The sequence below is a fragment of the Homo sapiens genome, chromosome 4 (assembly GCF_000001405.40).
Source record: "Homo sapiens chromosome 4, GRCh38.p14 Primary Assembly".
Classification (NCBI taxonomy): domain Eukaryota; kingdom Metazoa; phylum Chordata; class Mammalia; order Primates; family Hominidae; genus Homo; species Homo sapiens.
In genome coordinates, this window is record NC_000004.12 from 69,572,860 (window position 1) to 69,590,611 (window position 17,752).

General features: G+C 36.0%; 2 protein-coding genes and 1 pseudogene across 7 annotated transcripts in view; all 3 read right to left on the reverse strand.

Moving 5' to 3' along the window:
* On the reverse strand, positions 1,482 to 12,668 carry LOC100422024 (UDP glucuronosyltransferase family 2 member B7 pseudogene; annotated as a pseudogene).
* Positions 15,558 to 17,752, reverse strand: part of UGT2A1 (UDP glucuronosyltransferase family 2 member A1 complex locus) — a 64,831-nt gene continuing 62,636 nt past the window's right edge. For all 5 annotated transcript variants that reach the window (NM_001301239.2, NM_006798.5, NM_001252275.3 and 2 more), the window contains one exon: positions 15,558 to 16,792. In NM_001301239.2, the coding sequence (NP_001288168.1) occupies positions 16,513 to 16,792 (280 nt within the window). In that variant the 3' untranslated portion in view covers positions 15,558 to 16,512. The remainder of the gene's footprint in view (positions 16,793 to 17,752) is intronic.
* Positions 15,558 to 17,752, reverse strand: part of UGT2A2 (UDP glucuronosyltransferase family 2 member A2) — a 51,226-nt gene continuing 49,031 nt past the window's right edge. For both annotated transcript variants that reach the window (NM_001301233.1, NM_001105677.2), the window contains one exon: positions 15,558 to 16,792. In NM_001301233.1, the coding sequence (NP_001288162.1) occupies positions 16,513 to 16,792 (280 nt within the window). In that variant the 3' untranslated portion in view covers positions 15,558 to 16,512. The remainder of the gene's footprint in view (positions 16,793 to 17,752) is intronic.

Here is a 17,752-nt window from a genome sequence, read left to right on the forward strand (position 1 = left end):
AGAGACAACAAGTATTTCCAGCCTAGAGAGTGGAAGAAGTTAAAGCCAAAAGGAAATTTATATATATACATATATATATATATGTATATATACACACATGTACATATATATACATGTATATATATATACATGTACATATATATACATGTATACATATATATCATTTGAGAGTACAGAAGTTTAATTATCTGCTTTAAAAATTGTTAATGGATGTTGTATACATGGTTGAAAATAGTATCAAAGCCTAGAGGTAGGAGACAAACCTATGACAAGGTTCAGGTACACTTCCAGGCAAAGCTAATAAGAAGTCGGTATTGACCATGAATTAGTATTGACATTATGTCCGTGGATTAATGTTTAAAAGCATAAAACTGGTTGGATTTAGTTTGAATCTTAGAATACTTGGTAGAATTATCCTCACTATAAAGGGGTTCTCAGTAAATACTTGCTATTATTACTCTTTTTCTTGTATTGTGGTTTGTAGAATCTAAGTGGTGCTCAATATTTTACTTTGAGGCATTGTACTTCCATTTGTTTCTGCTGTTGAAATAATTATTGACTAATAGACAAAGAATAAGAATACATGTAAGTATTTGGCTTACCATATCAAAACCAAAAAGTGCTATAGAGAAGAAGCCTCATATTTCTGTTTTGAGACATTTTGGCAACTTATTTCTTTCAAGTCAATTATTTTCTGATTTTATTTTTTTTCAAAAAAAGCAACCACAGCTATAAAAACAAAGAATATAGCTACATTTATACTAGTATCTTCTTTTTATAATAATTTTAAAAAGTCAAGTTTGAAAGCTCTGGTAGTTTACAATTTATCAGTGATAGGAACAAAATGTTAGCATAAAAACTTTGGAAGGCATTAAATATAATGGGAATTAGAGTTTGATTATGTCATGCTAATTTAATGAAAATGAATTAGTTTTAAAGAGTTTTAAACATAAGGGAAAATGTGTAACTAATATGAAATCCTGTATGTTTATTTGCTTCACTATGGTACAATTTTTACTATGTATTTGTATCCCATAACATCACTTTGTATGTCTTCAATATACAAAATAAAATTTATTTAAAATGAACATTTGATGAGCTCTAATGCGGAAAGACCTGCATAAATTAGTCAGTACTGTCATGACATTCATGGCTCCCAGCTTCAGGTTTGTTCTCAATTTTCCTCATAATCCTTCTGTTACCATCATCAGCAATTTCTCTTATTTCACTTTTCAGTTATTTCATAACTGATGCACTATCCTAAAACCTCTGACAAATGTTTCCACTAAAACCACACATACACACACACAAAACAGATTGTGACACTCACAATGGTTTATTGACTATTGTCTTCAAGCATTAGAAAATACATACATGTACTCAGCATTGTGTTCATGTTCAGAGTCACTGCTGCTCCCTCGGTCTTCATGTAAGAACTCATCAATCCATGCTATGTAGTTTAAAAAAACCCTGTACATTCATGAAGGATCTTTAATGACTGCTTTTAATGCATTGAGCAAATCTGTAGTTGACATTGTTTTTGTGTCCAGTCTGATAGCTTCTCCCCTAGCCTTCATGTGAACAGTGTTATCAGGTTGATCTGCAAACAAAGGAAGCCCCCTCCACATAGGGATCCCATGGTAGATCCTCTCATAGGTGCCGTTGGCTCCACCATGAGTTATGAAAGCTTTGGTTTTTGGATGATCAAGGATTTGATGAATATTTGAATAATTACTCATTATAAGTCTTAGAAATAAAACGAGCAATGCACAATATGAGGCAATGAAACGGGCAGTGTTCTCTAGATAACAAATTACTGTTACAGTAAAACTGCATTAAAATTGCTTTAGATCTCAGAGGAAGAAGCACCTCTGGGGCTTTAAGTGAAGGCTCCACAAGTGGTATGTGACTTGAGGCTTGAGAAATGAATAGAAGATTGTCAAGTGGACAAATAGAGCACACTGTGGATAAACAAAACTGCATATACCCCACTCCAGCCCCCCAAAAGCAGGATGCATACTGGAACATGATCTCTTAGAGAAATAGTAAAGTCACTGAGTGTGATAGGGGATGTTGTCCAGGGCAGCAGGGAGTGGGGTGGTGGTGGTGCTTGAATAGAAGGACAGGCCATACTCCATCACAAAATGCATTAACACCTTATGATAAAGACTGGGGATTTATTCCCATAGAAAATACAGTCACTGATAATAAAAGAAGAGCTGCTTTTTTTAGTTGTATTTGAAATATTTATATATTAGGAGAAAGGGTAGGTGTAACATTCAAAGTAGGAGACAGACAAACCAGAATATTATTGAAAAATTATCTATGCAATGTAACAACACTAGAAATAAAGGTAGTTTGTTTCTGGCCGTAAATAATATTGTGTCCAGAATTTGTGGGTTCTTGGTCTCACTGACTTCAAGAACGAAGCTGCGGACCCTCGCGGTGAGTGTTACCAGTTCTTAAAGATGCTGTGTCCGGAGTTTATGGTCTCGCTGGCTTCAGGAGTGAAACTGCAGACCTTCCTGGTGAGTGTTACAGCTCTTCAGGCGGCGCATCTGGATCCGTTGGTTCCTCCTGTCCGGAGCTGTTCATCCCTCTGGGTGGGTTAGTGGTCTCGCTGGCCTCAGGAGTGAAGGTGCAGACCTTCACAGTGAGTGTTAGAGCTCATAAAGGCGGCACAGACCCAAAGAGTGAGCAGCAGCAAGATTTATCTCAAAGAGCGAAATAAAAACCTTCCACGGGGTGGAAGGCGACCTGAGCAGGTTGCCAATGCTGGCTACAGCAGCCTGCTTTTATGCCCTTATCTGACCCCACCGACATCCTGCTGATTGGTCCATTTTACAGAGCAGTGATTGGTCCATTTTACACAGAGCTGATTGGTCCATTTTACACAGAGCTGATTGGTCCATTTTGACAGGGTGCTGATTGTTGTGTTTACAAACCTTGAGCTAGACACAGAGGGCTGATTGTTGCATTTACAATCCTTTAGCTAGACACAAAAGTTCTCCTAGTCCCCACTAGATTAGCTAGACACAGAGGACTGATTGGTGCATTTACAAACCTTGAGCTAGACACAGAGTGCTGATTGGTACATTTACAATCCTTCAGCTAGACACAAAAGTTCTCCAAGTCCCCACTAGATTAGCTAGACACAGAGTACTGATTGGTACATTTATAAACCTTGAGCTAGACACAGAGCACTGACTGGTGCATTTACAAACCTTGAGCTAAACACAAAGTGCTGATTGGTGCATTTACAATCCTCCAGCTAGACATAAAAATTCCATAAGTTCCCACCAGATTAGCTAGATACAGAGTGCTGACTGGTGCATCCACGAACCCTGAGCTAGACAAAGAGGGCGGGCCGATTGGTGTATTTACAATCCTCCGGCTAGACATAAAAGTTCTCCAAGTTCCCACCCCACTCAGGAACCCAGCTGACTTTGCCTAGTGGATCCCGCTGGGAGGTCGCGGGGCAGGTCTGCCTGCCAGTACCTGCCGTGCACCCACACTCCTCAGACCTTGGGCCATGGATGGGACCGGGCACCATGAAGCAGAGGGTGGCGCTCCCTGGGGAGGGGCTCAGGCATGGCAGACTGCAGGTCCTGAGCCCTGCCCCGTGGGAAGGCGGCTGAAGGGTGACAATTGGAGCACGGCATGGGTAGGCCAGCAGTGCTGGGGCACCTGGTGCACCCTCCACAGCTGCTGGCCCCGGTGCTAAGCCCCTCACTGCCCAGGGCGGGCGGCACCAGCAGCTCCAAGTGTGGGGCCGCGAGCCGGCGCCCACCAAGAACTCGCGCTGGCCCACAAGCGCCCTGCCCAGCCCAGGTTCCCACCCGCACTTCTCCCTCCACACCTCCGCGCAAGCAGAGGGAGCCAGCTCTGGCCTCAGCCAGCCCAGAGAGGTGCTCCCACTGTGTAGCGGTGGGCTGAAGGGCTCCTCAAGCTTGGCCAGACTGTGTATGATAAAATGCTAACTGTTGTAGTTTATCATGTTTTTCCCCAGGACTGGAATATTAATGTAACGAAGTTAGATTTTGAGTTTTTAAATAATAAATGGTGAAACAGTTTTCTGTTGAACCATTTTCATCCTGTTTGGCTGATACCCACTTGTACAGCTGAGTATTGGTACTAACGTATCTGATTTCCTGTCACCAAATTTCCGTAGAACCATACAGATAAGGGACTCTAACGATGATAGGACAGGGACACATAGAGGGCCACAACACACACTGGGGCTTTTCAGAGGGTGGAAGTTGTGAGGAGGGAGAGGATCAGGAAAAATAACTAGTGGGTACTAGGCTTAATACCTGGGTGATGAAATAATCTGTACAACAAACCCCCATGACAAAAGTTTACCTGTGGAACAAACCATCACTTGTACCCCTGAACTTAAAGTGAAAGTTTAAAAAAAAAAAGTACCTTGTCATATGAGTCAAATTCAAATTACAGCATATTTGTAAGATTTCTAAAATGATAAAGAGATAAATGCCTTCCATAAAGCTGGTAAGGATATGAGGACAGGATAGGTTAAGTAACAGAGCTACAGAAGACTGAAGTAAATATAAATAAATAAATAAATAAATAAATAAATAAATAAATAAAATGGTTGGTGTAAAAGTAATTGCAGTTTTTTAAAAAGTAATGTCAAAAACCTCAATTACTTTTGCACCAACCTATTTTTTATTTATTTTTACATTAAATTAGGTTAAATGCAATCGTGATGTTTCACACATAGTGACTTAGACAAATAAGATAATAAGTGATAAATTCAAGCATTTAAGTAATTGTTAAGCAGTCATAATTCTAATGTAAAGCAGAGTAATTACTAATGGTCTACACCTTTTTAATTAATGTATTTACCATAGTCACTTTCATCTGCCAAATTTAATATTAAGCTTTTTATTTTAAAATCAATTAAATTGGAGAGAATTTACTTATATTCACTTATTCCATAAGTTAGAGTCTGACAGCTGATGATTTACAAAAAATCAAATCTATGCAATCATTTATGTATGAGAACTAAATGAATTCTGCTTAGAAATTACATATAACTTGTTTCTAATTACAAATTACTAAGCATTTCTTCCATAAAAAATTCAAGTGACATTTTCACATATATTCAGAATATTATCATATTTGTTAGCATTGTAAATTCTTTAAATATAGGAAAGACTGATTGATAGTTCATAAATGATAGGGCAGTTGAAAATTTTCCAAAATTGTGATGATGCTAAAGTTTGTTCAACTTGCTGTTAACTTTTCGGTGACAAACTACAAAACGTTGACAGCAGTGATCATTATGGTCATCTATAGCTAAGCCATTTGGTATATGCCTAATACCAAAATGAAGTACTGATTTTGGAGTTACCAAACAATCTTCATAGAGTATAATGAACACATTTTAACATATATTTGCTATATAAGTATTAAATGTAACTTCAGATTTGCAGCAAAAAAATAGTAAAGGTGATTACAGGAAGGCTATATAGGATGTAAAACTAAAGAATACCTCATAAATATTCAAAACAATATTTAGATCAAAGCTGTATTGTACATATTAGAAAGTTAGTTATTACTATAATTTATGGGGTATCTGAACCTCTCTCCCTACCTGGCTTCCTTCTACTTGACTCCTCCTCCTCCTCCTCCTTCTTTCTTCTTCTTCTCCTTCTACTTCTCTTCTTTCTCTCCCTCTTCTTTTCTTCTGTTCTGTTCTCTTCTCCTTCTCCTTCTCCTTCTCCTTCTCCTCCTTCTCCTTCTCCTCCTTCTCCTCCTCCTCCTCCTCCTTCTTCTTCTGCTTCTTCATCTTCTTCCTCCTCCTCCTCCTCCTCTACTATTTGAGATAGGGTCTCACATTATCACTCAGGCTGAAGTGCAATCATAGCTCACTGAAACCTCAAACTCCTGGGCTCAATCAGTCCTCCTAAATCAGCCTTCTGAGTAGCTAAGACCACAGATATGTACCTGTATTTCCTGCTAATTTTCTTTTTGCTTGTTTTTAGAGATGAGATATTGCTATGTAGCCCAGTTTGGTCTGGAACTCCTGGGCTCAACGGATCCTCCCACCTTGGTTGCCCAAAGTGCTGGAATTAAGCATGAGCCACTGCACCTGTTCTTGATTCTTCCTTATAGTCAGTTTTCAGGATGGTTTTCAGATACAAGTGGTTAAATTACTTGATGTTTATAATATACTCAGTGTACATTTTCTCTGTCTTTTTCTGTCAGGCAGCTATGATGTTGAGACGCAAATTTTACAATGATGCTTTACTGAGCTGTTTTATAGGCATGGCATAAGGCAGAAAATACCAGCTCTGATAAGATAAAACATCATTCTTTTTTACTTTTAGTTATACAACTCTGTGATCTCAAACAAAGAATGATTTAGTCATGGGGTGAAAGCCAATAAACATTGGATTTGGATGCAAATATTGCTGGGGCCACACATTTATACTGTTGAAAAATGGTGTACATTTTAAGCTAGAATAATGCTAAAGTGCCTCAACTCTTGTATTAAAATTTTAGCATTTCATTCTGTTCATCGTGTTGCCAAAATGTGTACATTTACTTTTAAACAAGTACATAGGATTTCTTTTCTCTCGGATTTACCTAAGAATATAATCTTAATCTATTGGAATAACAGTCCTTATTGAATGAAATGGTATCTGAAGTGTCTGACACATATTAGGAAATTAATAGTGTTAGTAACAACAACAAGAAATAGCAATGACGTTAACAGTCAACATTAATTCAAATCACTAACTAGGTAACAAATACATTTTAAGAGTTTTGTCTCTATTAACTGCTTTTCCCACACAATGCAATGTAAGATTTGTACTATTATTAGAGTAGTCATAGTCATCTCGGATGAGAATATTCTCTGATAATTTTATCAACTGTTGCCTGAACTCTTACACCAGTCTCCTAAATGCTTCTGTGCATAGTGTTGGCCCTCTTCAATTAAAACCAGGCACTGTATCTTAAGGCATTTTTTTTTTTGTAATGAAGTCTGATCATATCTTTCCCCAGCTCAATTTTTTTTCCTCTGACTCCCCAATGTCTTTGTTAGATATTTCAAATTTATTTCTGTTATCTGATTCCAAATTATCTCTCTAAGGAAATCTGCCTCTTTATTCAACCTCTTCCTGCTAAACTAAACTTGGAGTTTCGGAACTGAACTATCATTACTCTTCTACCTGCTTTCATTTTGTATCTTCCTCTCACTTGACCTATTTCTGCAAATCATTCAGGTCTCAGTTTTATTATCAGTGTTGCTGGTATACCTACTATTATCCCTACTGAATGTTCTCCAAGCATTGTGGTCCTTTCTTTTTAAAACATTTTATACACATTTTATGACATGCTTTTTATTCTACAATTCCAAATAGATTTTAAAGTCTATGGGAGTAGAAAATGTCCCTAAATTTCTTTCTCTGCAAATCCAGCACTTACCTCTGGTGAATTTTAGTCACTTTATAAAGAGTTTTTGAGGAAATGATTTATACTGGCTTCTGTGTTGAGTAATGAATTCCTTAGTTTCAGTGACCCTATTCTTAATGTTTTACAGGCATCTCACTTTATTCTATAATGATATAATGATAGTTATTTTAGACAGGGGGTTAGCAGATTTTCAGTAGCGTCCTTTAACAAAATCAAAGCTTGATGAGTTTGGGAGAGAAAATACTAAATACTATGAGGTTCTAATTAGCCATATTTCTGTTTCCCCATTGTCTTAGACAATGTAGTGGGTCTCCCTGGTTGAGTAAAAGACAGGATAATGAGATAATTGTCATGTGAATAGACTGTGTAATTTTCCAAAATAAGTTGGAATAATACAGGCAATGCTTTACACAGTGTCTGTGCATTAATGAAACAGTTATACTAATTTGGACATAATATAATTTGTGTGAATAATTTATGTTATATAGTATATGTATACACACAAATACACACACATATATATGAAAGGCAAAGTGACGGGAGACTATGTCTCTAACATCACCGAGTCATTAAAATAACCCACTATAAAATTGAATATGCATTTGTTTTCTATCTAAAGATATAAATGTAAACAACTATTTTAGCTGCATAATCAAGTAATCTTAACATATCCATGGAAACGGGTTTCCCAGGATTTTATTTTCTACTATTTAGTTTCTACTATTTAGCAAACTGGTTCCTGAACATTGACTTTTCAAGTGAATGTGATGTTTTTGAGACAATGTCTGCTCAAGTGTCTCAAGTGAATGTACTGCTTTTAGTTATGTTAATAACTGAAGAATATTGTTTATAGAAATATTTGCAAATATCAGTTGGAATTTTTTCAGAAATTATGGAAATGAAGATGTGTACTCACCCTTAGTTTTGGCTGAGTTTTTAAATGGAGAAAAATAGATTTTAAAAAGTAAAGACTAATTACATGTATGTCCAAACTTTAACAGGATTTTATGTCTTTAAAACAGACTTGTGAGAACTTAATAAAGAAATGTATAAATATTAAAAACCTCAAAGTATAGGATTTTTTTGCATCTGGAGAAAAAGATAATGTATTTCTCACCTGTGAAGCATCCTTTAAGTAATATGAAATAAATATTTTTCATTTTAAATAAGGAAACTGATCTATACAAGAAAAGGCAATTTCCTCAATGCTACACAACTGTGCTAGAAATATATGTGTGCCTCATAAATCTATGTACTTGTTTATCAAGATATTAGGAAGATGTCTCCTGGGTTTTTATAAGATAAAAATGAATGTATGGTAAAATGTATATCTAATTGCCGAAATACATTTGCAATTCATTAATTCATAGTTGTATGACTTCCTACAGTGTCCTGTATAAGTGATGGCCACAGGTTTCTAGCTGATCCTGTAACTTTCGGTGCAGCTTTTCCACCATATTAGTAAGATTATTGATCATTTTATCTTTGAATTTTATCGTTTCACCTATAAAACACACAGTTTTTTTATTTTATATTTATATAAACTTACCTTAAAAGGCATAAGGAAAGGTAGGACTTCATAATACCAATTAAAAACTTACATAGTTCTTCACTGTAAAACTAATTCCATTTCCTTTTTTTTAAACAAAGTATGATTTTACTCCCTTTGTCAAGCTCACAGTTCTTTTTTTAATAGTGACAATCCATATATATAGACATTCCTAAAAGAAATAAAAGTAATTCAGTAGACATGTCACTGTTACAGAACCTGAATATGGAATGCATTCGATGCTTTTGTTTGATTTTGTTGAGACAGGGTCTCTCTCTGTTGCCCAGATTGGAGTGCAGTGGCATGATCGCACCTGGCTGCAGCCTTGGCCTCTCAGGCTCAAGCGATCCTCCTGCCTCAACCTCCCAAGTAGTTGGGACTACAGGCGTGTGCCACAGTCCTGGCTAATTTTTTGTAGATATGGGGTCTCAATATATTGCCCAGGCTGAATTTGATGTTATTTCAAGTTGATTTTTGTGTGTTTGGAAGTTTGTCTTGCTCCTCAACTACTATGCAGGTAGACAGTCATCCCCCAGAGATTCACTAGATTGCCATATAGAGGCACTTTATCATTTCCCTATTGTTCCTAATACAGAATTGTAGAGCTGGAAAGTAACTTCAGTTTTCTAAATCTATTCCTAAACAGGATATCACTAACTTCTTTAGAATCATTTCTCAGTATACATCAACTTATTGAGAACTGTCTAATACTCAAAGAAATGAAATCTTGAGTTCAGTAAGCTGTGTTCCAAGCAGGAATCATTTTCACTTACCAAAATATCTCCTATTACCTCAAGCTATCCTTGTTGAGGAAAGCTGAAAATTAAATTTTAAGTATCAAGTCTAGACCATAGAGTGCTTTGGTGGGAGTATTTTGATTATATACCTCCTACCCATCAGAAGCAGGCAGCTAATATTGTGAACTGAGCATTTTTGTCAAAAGTCACAGGCAAGAGACTAGAGAAGAATGAGAAAGGTCAAATGGACCTTGTGTGGCTGACTACATGGATCTTGTTTCTTGGAGGTCTGTCACAGAAGAGAAAACACATAGAGGTGAAGAAACAGAACAGACTCAGTCAGCATCCTTACCTAGAGATGGCAACATCTCTATTAAGACCAATGCAATACCTTTTCATCTTCAACAACTGTTGTTTTGTCTGTCTTTGATCCTTGGCATTGTCAAAAACTTAACTGCAGGTCCAGTGTATATTTTTCCTTATTTTTCCCTTTTAGCTATCTGCTAAAATGATTAAATGTCACAACTGTACTTTTCCAAAGAAACAGAACTATTGACAATTTAAAGCCTGTCATGCAGGTCATGTTTCAAATTGAGGCTAAAATTTTCAACAGCTATAGAAACATTGTACAATATTAGTGTTTTTTTTTAAAGAAAATGTTAGTTCATGGAGTATACTAAATATCTGTGATAGATTAAATATATTAGTTCTAATCTTACTTTTGATTTTGGGAGCCCAAAATAAAGAGAGTGTTGTTTTCATGGTTATGCCTTGTTTGTGGAGTCAAGTGTCGATATACTTGAGGCATGTTATGTGTCTTCTAATTAATATTTTTATCACCGTGAATTTGTGTCTCTTCCAAGCATTAAACTTTTACTATGTATCTTAAATTCCTTATTAGAAAAATGAAAGTGTGAATACTTTGTTTGGCTTATATTTTCATTTATTGTAGTTGACCACATTTTATGGTTCCTGAGTGCCTTCACCCAGCTACACTTTACCTTGTATCTATAAAAGTGTAATTTAGAGTAAATACATTGGCTATAAAGTCGAGATCAGGTGCTCTCCACCAAAAGCAAAACAAAACTTCTGAAATGTGGCAAGGTTTCTCAGTGCAAGCTTAAATATTTAAACTGTTGACCATGTGGAAAATACTGGACAAAGGGGAAGAACAAAACATCATGTGCAATAGCTAGAGGTTATGCAAGGCAAAGCAAGGTTATACTTTTTGACTAAGTTACTCTTAAAAGTTAAATGCATTTTTTCTTGTGAAGTGTGGATTATAAAAGCCAAAGACAAAACCAGTGTGAAAAATGTTTTGTATTCTACAATACCTTTTACGAGTAAGAGTAAAACATAAATTTTTTATTTGTAATTTTATTTAAGGAGGAATACTCTTTCCCTTTGGTATGACCACAGTATTATAAACAGCAAGGAATATGTTCTGCTTTCTGCAGTTTTAGAAAGTCATTCCAGCCTGTGTGACAGAATGAAGTAAGACTGTCTCTTAAAAAAAAAAAAAAAGCTCACACCTGTAACCCCAGCACTTTGGGCACCAAGGTGGGCAAATCGGTTGAGCCCAGGAGTTCGAGACCTACCTGGCAACAAAGTTAGATTCCCCCTACTCTCTACAAAAGTAAAAAAAAAAAAAAAAAAAGCTGGTCATGGTGGCACACGCCTGTGGTCCCAACCACATGAAATTCTGAAGCAGGTGGATCTCTTGAGACTGGCTGGGAGGTCGAGGTTGCAGTGAGCTATGCTCATGCCACCACACTCCAGCCTATGCAACACAGATCTTGTCTCAAAAAAGAAGTCATCTGTGTGTTTCTTTCAGGGACATCTATGGCAATGCTTGTACCATGAATTTAAAACTTCTAACTTGATGGCACATTTTTACTTTTTTTTTTTTCCGAGATGGAGTCTTTCTCTGTTGCCCAGGCTGGAGTGTAGTGGCGCGATCCTGGCCCACTGCAACCTCTGCCCCCCAGGTTCAAGAGGAGGCAGCCCTCCCGAGTAGCTGGAACTACAGGCATGTGCCACCACGCCCAGCCAATTTTGCATTTTTAGTTGAGACAAGGTTGCTGGCCAGGCTGGTCTCAAACTCTTGACCTGAAAAGATCCACCCACCTCAGCCTCCTAAAGTGCTGAGACCACAGGCGTGGGCCACCACACCAGGTTCTGATGGCACATTTTAAAACTGATCTCATTTCTTATTGATTGTTTGAAACCAAAAGTCAAAACACACACACACACACACACACACACACACACACACACACACACGCAGTTCTCCATTTATGTTATTTGATTATAAAAATTATGACAGAACAACACGCATGTAGGAAGGAGGTAATTGAAGTCCTCCACTATGCTTCTCCAGTATGTAGTCAGGAAACAAGCAGAAACTGTGAAAAAAAAGGATGCTTTAGTAGCTCAGTCAGCAGCTCACCACTGAGACCACTGGCATGTGAAAGAATGACATCAAACCTCAACTTTTGTAGGTTTTCAAGTTTATTGTTCAAAACCAAATTTTTACAAAGATTTTCATAACAATCACAATATCCCTGTAATTGTTTTGCAGTGGTGCAATATCTGTCCAAAATGTATCTTTGGGTACATCTTTTATGCATTGATCTATCCTGTCAAAAAATTCTACAATCCATCTTTAGCGCAACATGTATAAAAAAGTTCAAATTTAATACTAGATAGACTACTGAGATCAAGGAAAATGGAAGACAAAGGTCTAGAACAGTCACCTCATGACCTCTCTAGACAAGTTTATTCAATACTCACTTCATATGAAGTGAGTTCATCCAGTTCTCAATTCACTTCATATTGATCCAGTGTCTATATTTTACCAGCACCTTTCCACAACTCCTCTACCTAAAGTAACAACTCAACTGTAGGGGAAGCAAAACTGAAGTTCATTTCATAGACAGTCTAGTTAAATGCAATGCTTATTTCTCTATGCATCTGTTGCTTCTAACTAAGGAGAAATCATCAAGAATTTAAAATAAAACTCCAACACATCTGGCTTACCCAGCCTTGCTGTTATAACAAGACACCTGAGACTGGACAATTTACCAAGAACAGAAATTGTTTTCTCACAGTTCTGGAGGCTGGCAAGTTAAAGATCAAGATGCTGGTATCTAGGGAAAGCCTTCTTGCTGCATTCTCACATGGTAGAAGTGGAATGGCAAAAGTGACCAGTTCTGTATCTTCATGTAGCAGAAAAGCAAGCCTGCTGAATGAAGCTAAAAAGACCTTCATCCCATTCACGAAGAAGGCAATATCACCTCTTAGAGGCCCCTCCTCATAATCTGTCACATTGGCAACACCTGAATTTTGGAAAGGACACATTCCAACCATAGCAATGTCAAAGTAAATACATTATATGAACAATCACAGTTTCTGGATGACAAATGGATCAAGAAAAGGTAGATGGCCTCATGCTTACAAGTGTGTGTTACTGTGTCTTTTAAAATTACAAGTGTTTTACTCCCCAGTAAGAGTTGAACTTGTGTGTTCTAGACACCTAAGTCATATAAGAGGTTTGTGAAGTGTCAAGTACAGTGAGAAATGGAGACTTCTTGGTCTGCAGTCCCCTTGACACAGAACTGGAGATAAAGTAATTATACAGCTGAATTACCATTTCTTAGATGTCACGGTTCAAGATACTTTTGTGTGTAAAAAATTTGTACACATACAATTCACATATTTATCAATTTAAAGTGTACAATTCAATGGCTGGGTGCAATGGCTCATGTCTGTAATCCCAGTACTTTGTGAAACCCAGGAAGGTGGGTCACTTAAACCCAGAGGTTTGATATCAACATGGGCAACACAGTGAATCCTTGTCTCTACAAAAAAAAAACAAAAACAAAACGAACAATTAGCTGGCTGTGGTAGTGTGCACATGCAGTCCCAGCTACTTGGGAAGCTGAGGTGGGAGGATGGCATGAGTCCAGGAGGTTGAGGCTGCAAAGGGTGGAGATTGCAATCCTGTCTTCCAAAAAAAAAGTTTTTAATATACAATTCAGTGGTTCATCGTATATTCATAGAATTTTTCAACAACTGCAACAACAAGATTTAGAGTATTTTATCACCCACCAAAAGAAACACTGTACCCTTAGCCATTCCTTATCCTGCATTTTAGGCAAACACTAACTTATTTTTTATCTCTATCAATTTTCCTATTAAGAGCATTTCATATGAAGGGACATATTGTTATATGAAGGATCTTTGTTGTTTGGCATCTATACTTAGTATAATGTTTTAAAAAGTCTCATTAATGGTATAGCATGCATCAAGACTTTATTATTTTTATTGCCAAATAATATTCTAAAACATATTGTTTATTCATTTATCAGTGATGAACTGTAGTTTTCTCTCCAGTTTTGGTTAAGATGTTATCAACATGCATGTATTAATTTTGTATAGACCTATTGCCATTTGTGTCTGGTATATTACTAGAGGTAGAATTGCTGGGTCATATTGTAACTCTGTTTAAACTTTAATAAACTGGCAGATTGTTTCAAAGTGCCTGAATAATTTTTGATACACACAAGCAAAGTATGAAGATTCCAAATTCTCCATATCCTTGCCAACACTTTTAATTACTTATCTTTTTGATAATAGCCATGTTAGTGAGGGTGAAGTGGTATCTCATTGTGGTTTTTACTTAAATTTTCCTGTAATAATGTTGAACTTAATGATGCAGAGCATTTTTTCATTTGTTCTTATTGGACATTACATTTGCTCATTTGTCCTCATTGGACATTTACATATTCCTTAGAGAAATGCCTGTTCAGATCTTATGCACATTTTTGGATTGGGTCATTTTTTTTTTATCATTGAGCTGTAAGCTTTCTTTATAAATTTCTTACACAAGTCATTTACCATGTATGTAATTTGCAACTATATCCTCCAAAGTCTGGTTTCTCTTCAGACTTTAGTGCTGGTGTTTGGATGTACAAAAATTTTGATTTCAGTGAAGTCCAATTTATCAATTTTAATTTGATTGCTTCTGCTTTTGGTGTCATATCTAAAAACCTTGCAAAATTCAGGGTTAGAAAGAAAGCTATACCCATATTCTTCCTGCTGAGAGTTTTATAGTTCTTGATCTTACATTTAGTTTTTTTTTAATCTATTTTGAGTCCATTTTTATATATGACTTGAGGTAAGGGGTTCAATTTTATTCTTTTGAATACTGATAATCAGTTTGTCCACTGGTATTTGTTAAAGATATTGTTTTTTCTCCATTGTATAGTTTTGCATTCTTGTCAAATATCAATTGACTCTATGTTTGGCTATATTTCTAGATTTTACAAACTATTAAAATTGAGTATATGCCTAGCTATATGCCTATAGCTAATGCATGCTAAGCTTAATACCTAGGTGATGGGCAGATAGGTGCAGCAAACCACCATGGCACACGTTTACTATGTAACAAACCTGCACATGTATCCTGGAACTTAAAATAACATAAAATTGAAAAAAGAAACAGTGAAAGAAAGAAGAATTTCAAAAATATCACTAAGGCAACGAATGTAATTTATCTTCTCAATTTCAAATATTGAAATTAACACTTTAGCTAGAAATGTCATTAAATTTATAAAGGGTAAAGAAAGCAAAATCTTTAATATATTTATTAAATTAATGCAAGGCTGAATCAAGTAAAAGTATTTGCCTTCAACTATGCTTTCCGTTGATAAACATTTATTATGCCATATCCTTGGTGAAGCTCTTAGTCTTTTATATACATAGCATAACAATTAATTGATAAATTAAAATTTGTGGAAGATAAAGACAAAAATAATGCAATGATATCAAATTCCAAGTAAGCATTTTTTATTTTTTGGCATAAAATTAAACTTTTGATTACAAATAGTGATTATATATTATGAACATTAGTGATTTTTAAGCATAATTAATTGATGTTTTATGTAATTATTTGTACAGTTGACTAAAAATTTTATAAAAATGATAATTATTTTCTAGATTTCTAATTGTTATATCCTCTAAATATGATCTGTTCACCTTCAACATATAACATAGAACTTTCTCCTTGAAATAAAAGAGTCGATTGATTGATTTATTAAAGACAGTACCCAAATCTTCCACTACAGGTTATATAAGAATATATGTTGAAGAAAGGCAGGCAAGTTATGCCGTGATTTTCTAGATATGCTTAATGAAAATTTTGTAGACATTTAATAGGGACGCACGTCACACTTAAAATTCATTCTCTAACTCCTGAAACATTGAGCAAGCAGAAGAGTTTGTTTTTATTAAAAAAGGAAATCATTACCTTTCTCATAACACACTACTCTCCTACGGTGGCTCCCTGATTTGTTTGGTATATGGAAATTTGTGAATTTGACTCTTCCTTACACCTATCAAATTCCATCTACACTGTATGCATTACCAGGATTCAGCATATTGTTAATCATTAATTAAGGTTAACGATAAAATAATTTGATACTATGAATAGAACATATTTAAAATTAGGTAGTATCCTTGTGTCAGAAAAGTGACAGGAAGAGGGTATAGTCAGCAGGGAGAGACAAAGGAAAAATAGAAGACTATAACTCACAAGTTAATAATAATCATGCCAAAATCTAGGCTTTATCAGTAGGCTTATCGCAGGTAGAGAAATAGAAAATTTGGAAACAGGATGGGAGACGTGTTTTTGTTAAACTCCTTTTGTCTGGAATTAATAGGACTACACTACTCAGGATTTTGCCAAACTTAAAAATATATATATTTCCTCTTTTTCTTGACCTATTCTCTTTTTTTCTTCTTTCCTATCTTACCAAATTTTTGACAGGAAAACAAACAACATTGTATGACCAAAAATATAGCCGTTGTCACACAGACCAGCAAGAACCCAATTACATCCAAAGAGTGGTACTGGAACCAGGTGAGGTCATGGGCTGCAACCCGAAGGTGCTTGGCTCCTTTGTGGCGCATGACAAACTCGATCCAGAAGACTGCTCGATCCAGGGGCTTTACAGGTTGATCATGGTGAATTCTTGATAACCTCATAGCATTCTCTTTATAACTAGAAGACAAATAAATAGGCAGAAATTAGACAATTTTTGTTTTTATTTTCATTGAAGATAAATATGTGATACACTTTTGCTCTACAAGTTTAAGGCCATAGTTACGTGGAGAAAATATAATTCTTGCATGAACTTTGTTAGTTGTATAGGATTTTAAGAGTTACAAAAAGGAAGATATGGATGAAATATATGCTTAACACAGTATGATCAAATGTAGACATAAAAAAGTAGAGTAAGCCAGTTGTAAATATAGATGTTTAGCATAATTTTTCCAAAAATAATTTTGATACTGTGTGAGCTATACTGTAGGATGGTTCCAATACCAAGATGGTACATAACCTAATACTGTGGGATAAAAATCATTTAAGACATACATAAACATATCCTCTAGTGTCTGGCTAGTTCATATGACAGACAAAGGAAATTGGCAGTCAGCATTAGTGAGTCATTTTACAGTTCTAAGATGTAGGCATTGTGATAATTACTCTGTGGCACACATCTGTATGTTTGTGACGAAAAGGACAGTGTCTGTATCTGTAACATGAAGACTGAACAAAAATACTCTGGTGATTTAAGAAGTGGCATATCCAAGTACATGAACTTTGATGTTTCAATTGAAACATCTCCCTAGAATTAGAGCTCTAAATCAACTTGCCATCACAATAGAGATAGTAACAGAGATAACAGTTCTAATGGCTTCTCAAACAATATTGGGTGGATATCTACATATTTAAAAGGCAAACTGTGTCTTCACTTGCAGTTTCCCTAGTTGTTAAACCAAAATTAGTAGGTTTCATTTTGGTTTGTGTCTGGAAGAAAAGTTCCAGCCTGGATTCATGAAGATGAGCGAAGGTAAATGGTTTGTGCAGAGATGTCCCGGTGTTGGCAGGACATTGTTAGGACTGGGGAATGGGGAACATGGTCATCATTTACAAGAGAACATGGTACAACTAGATTCA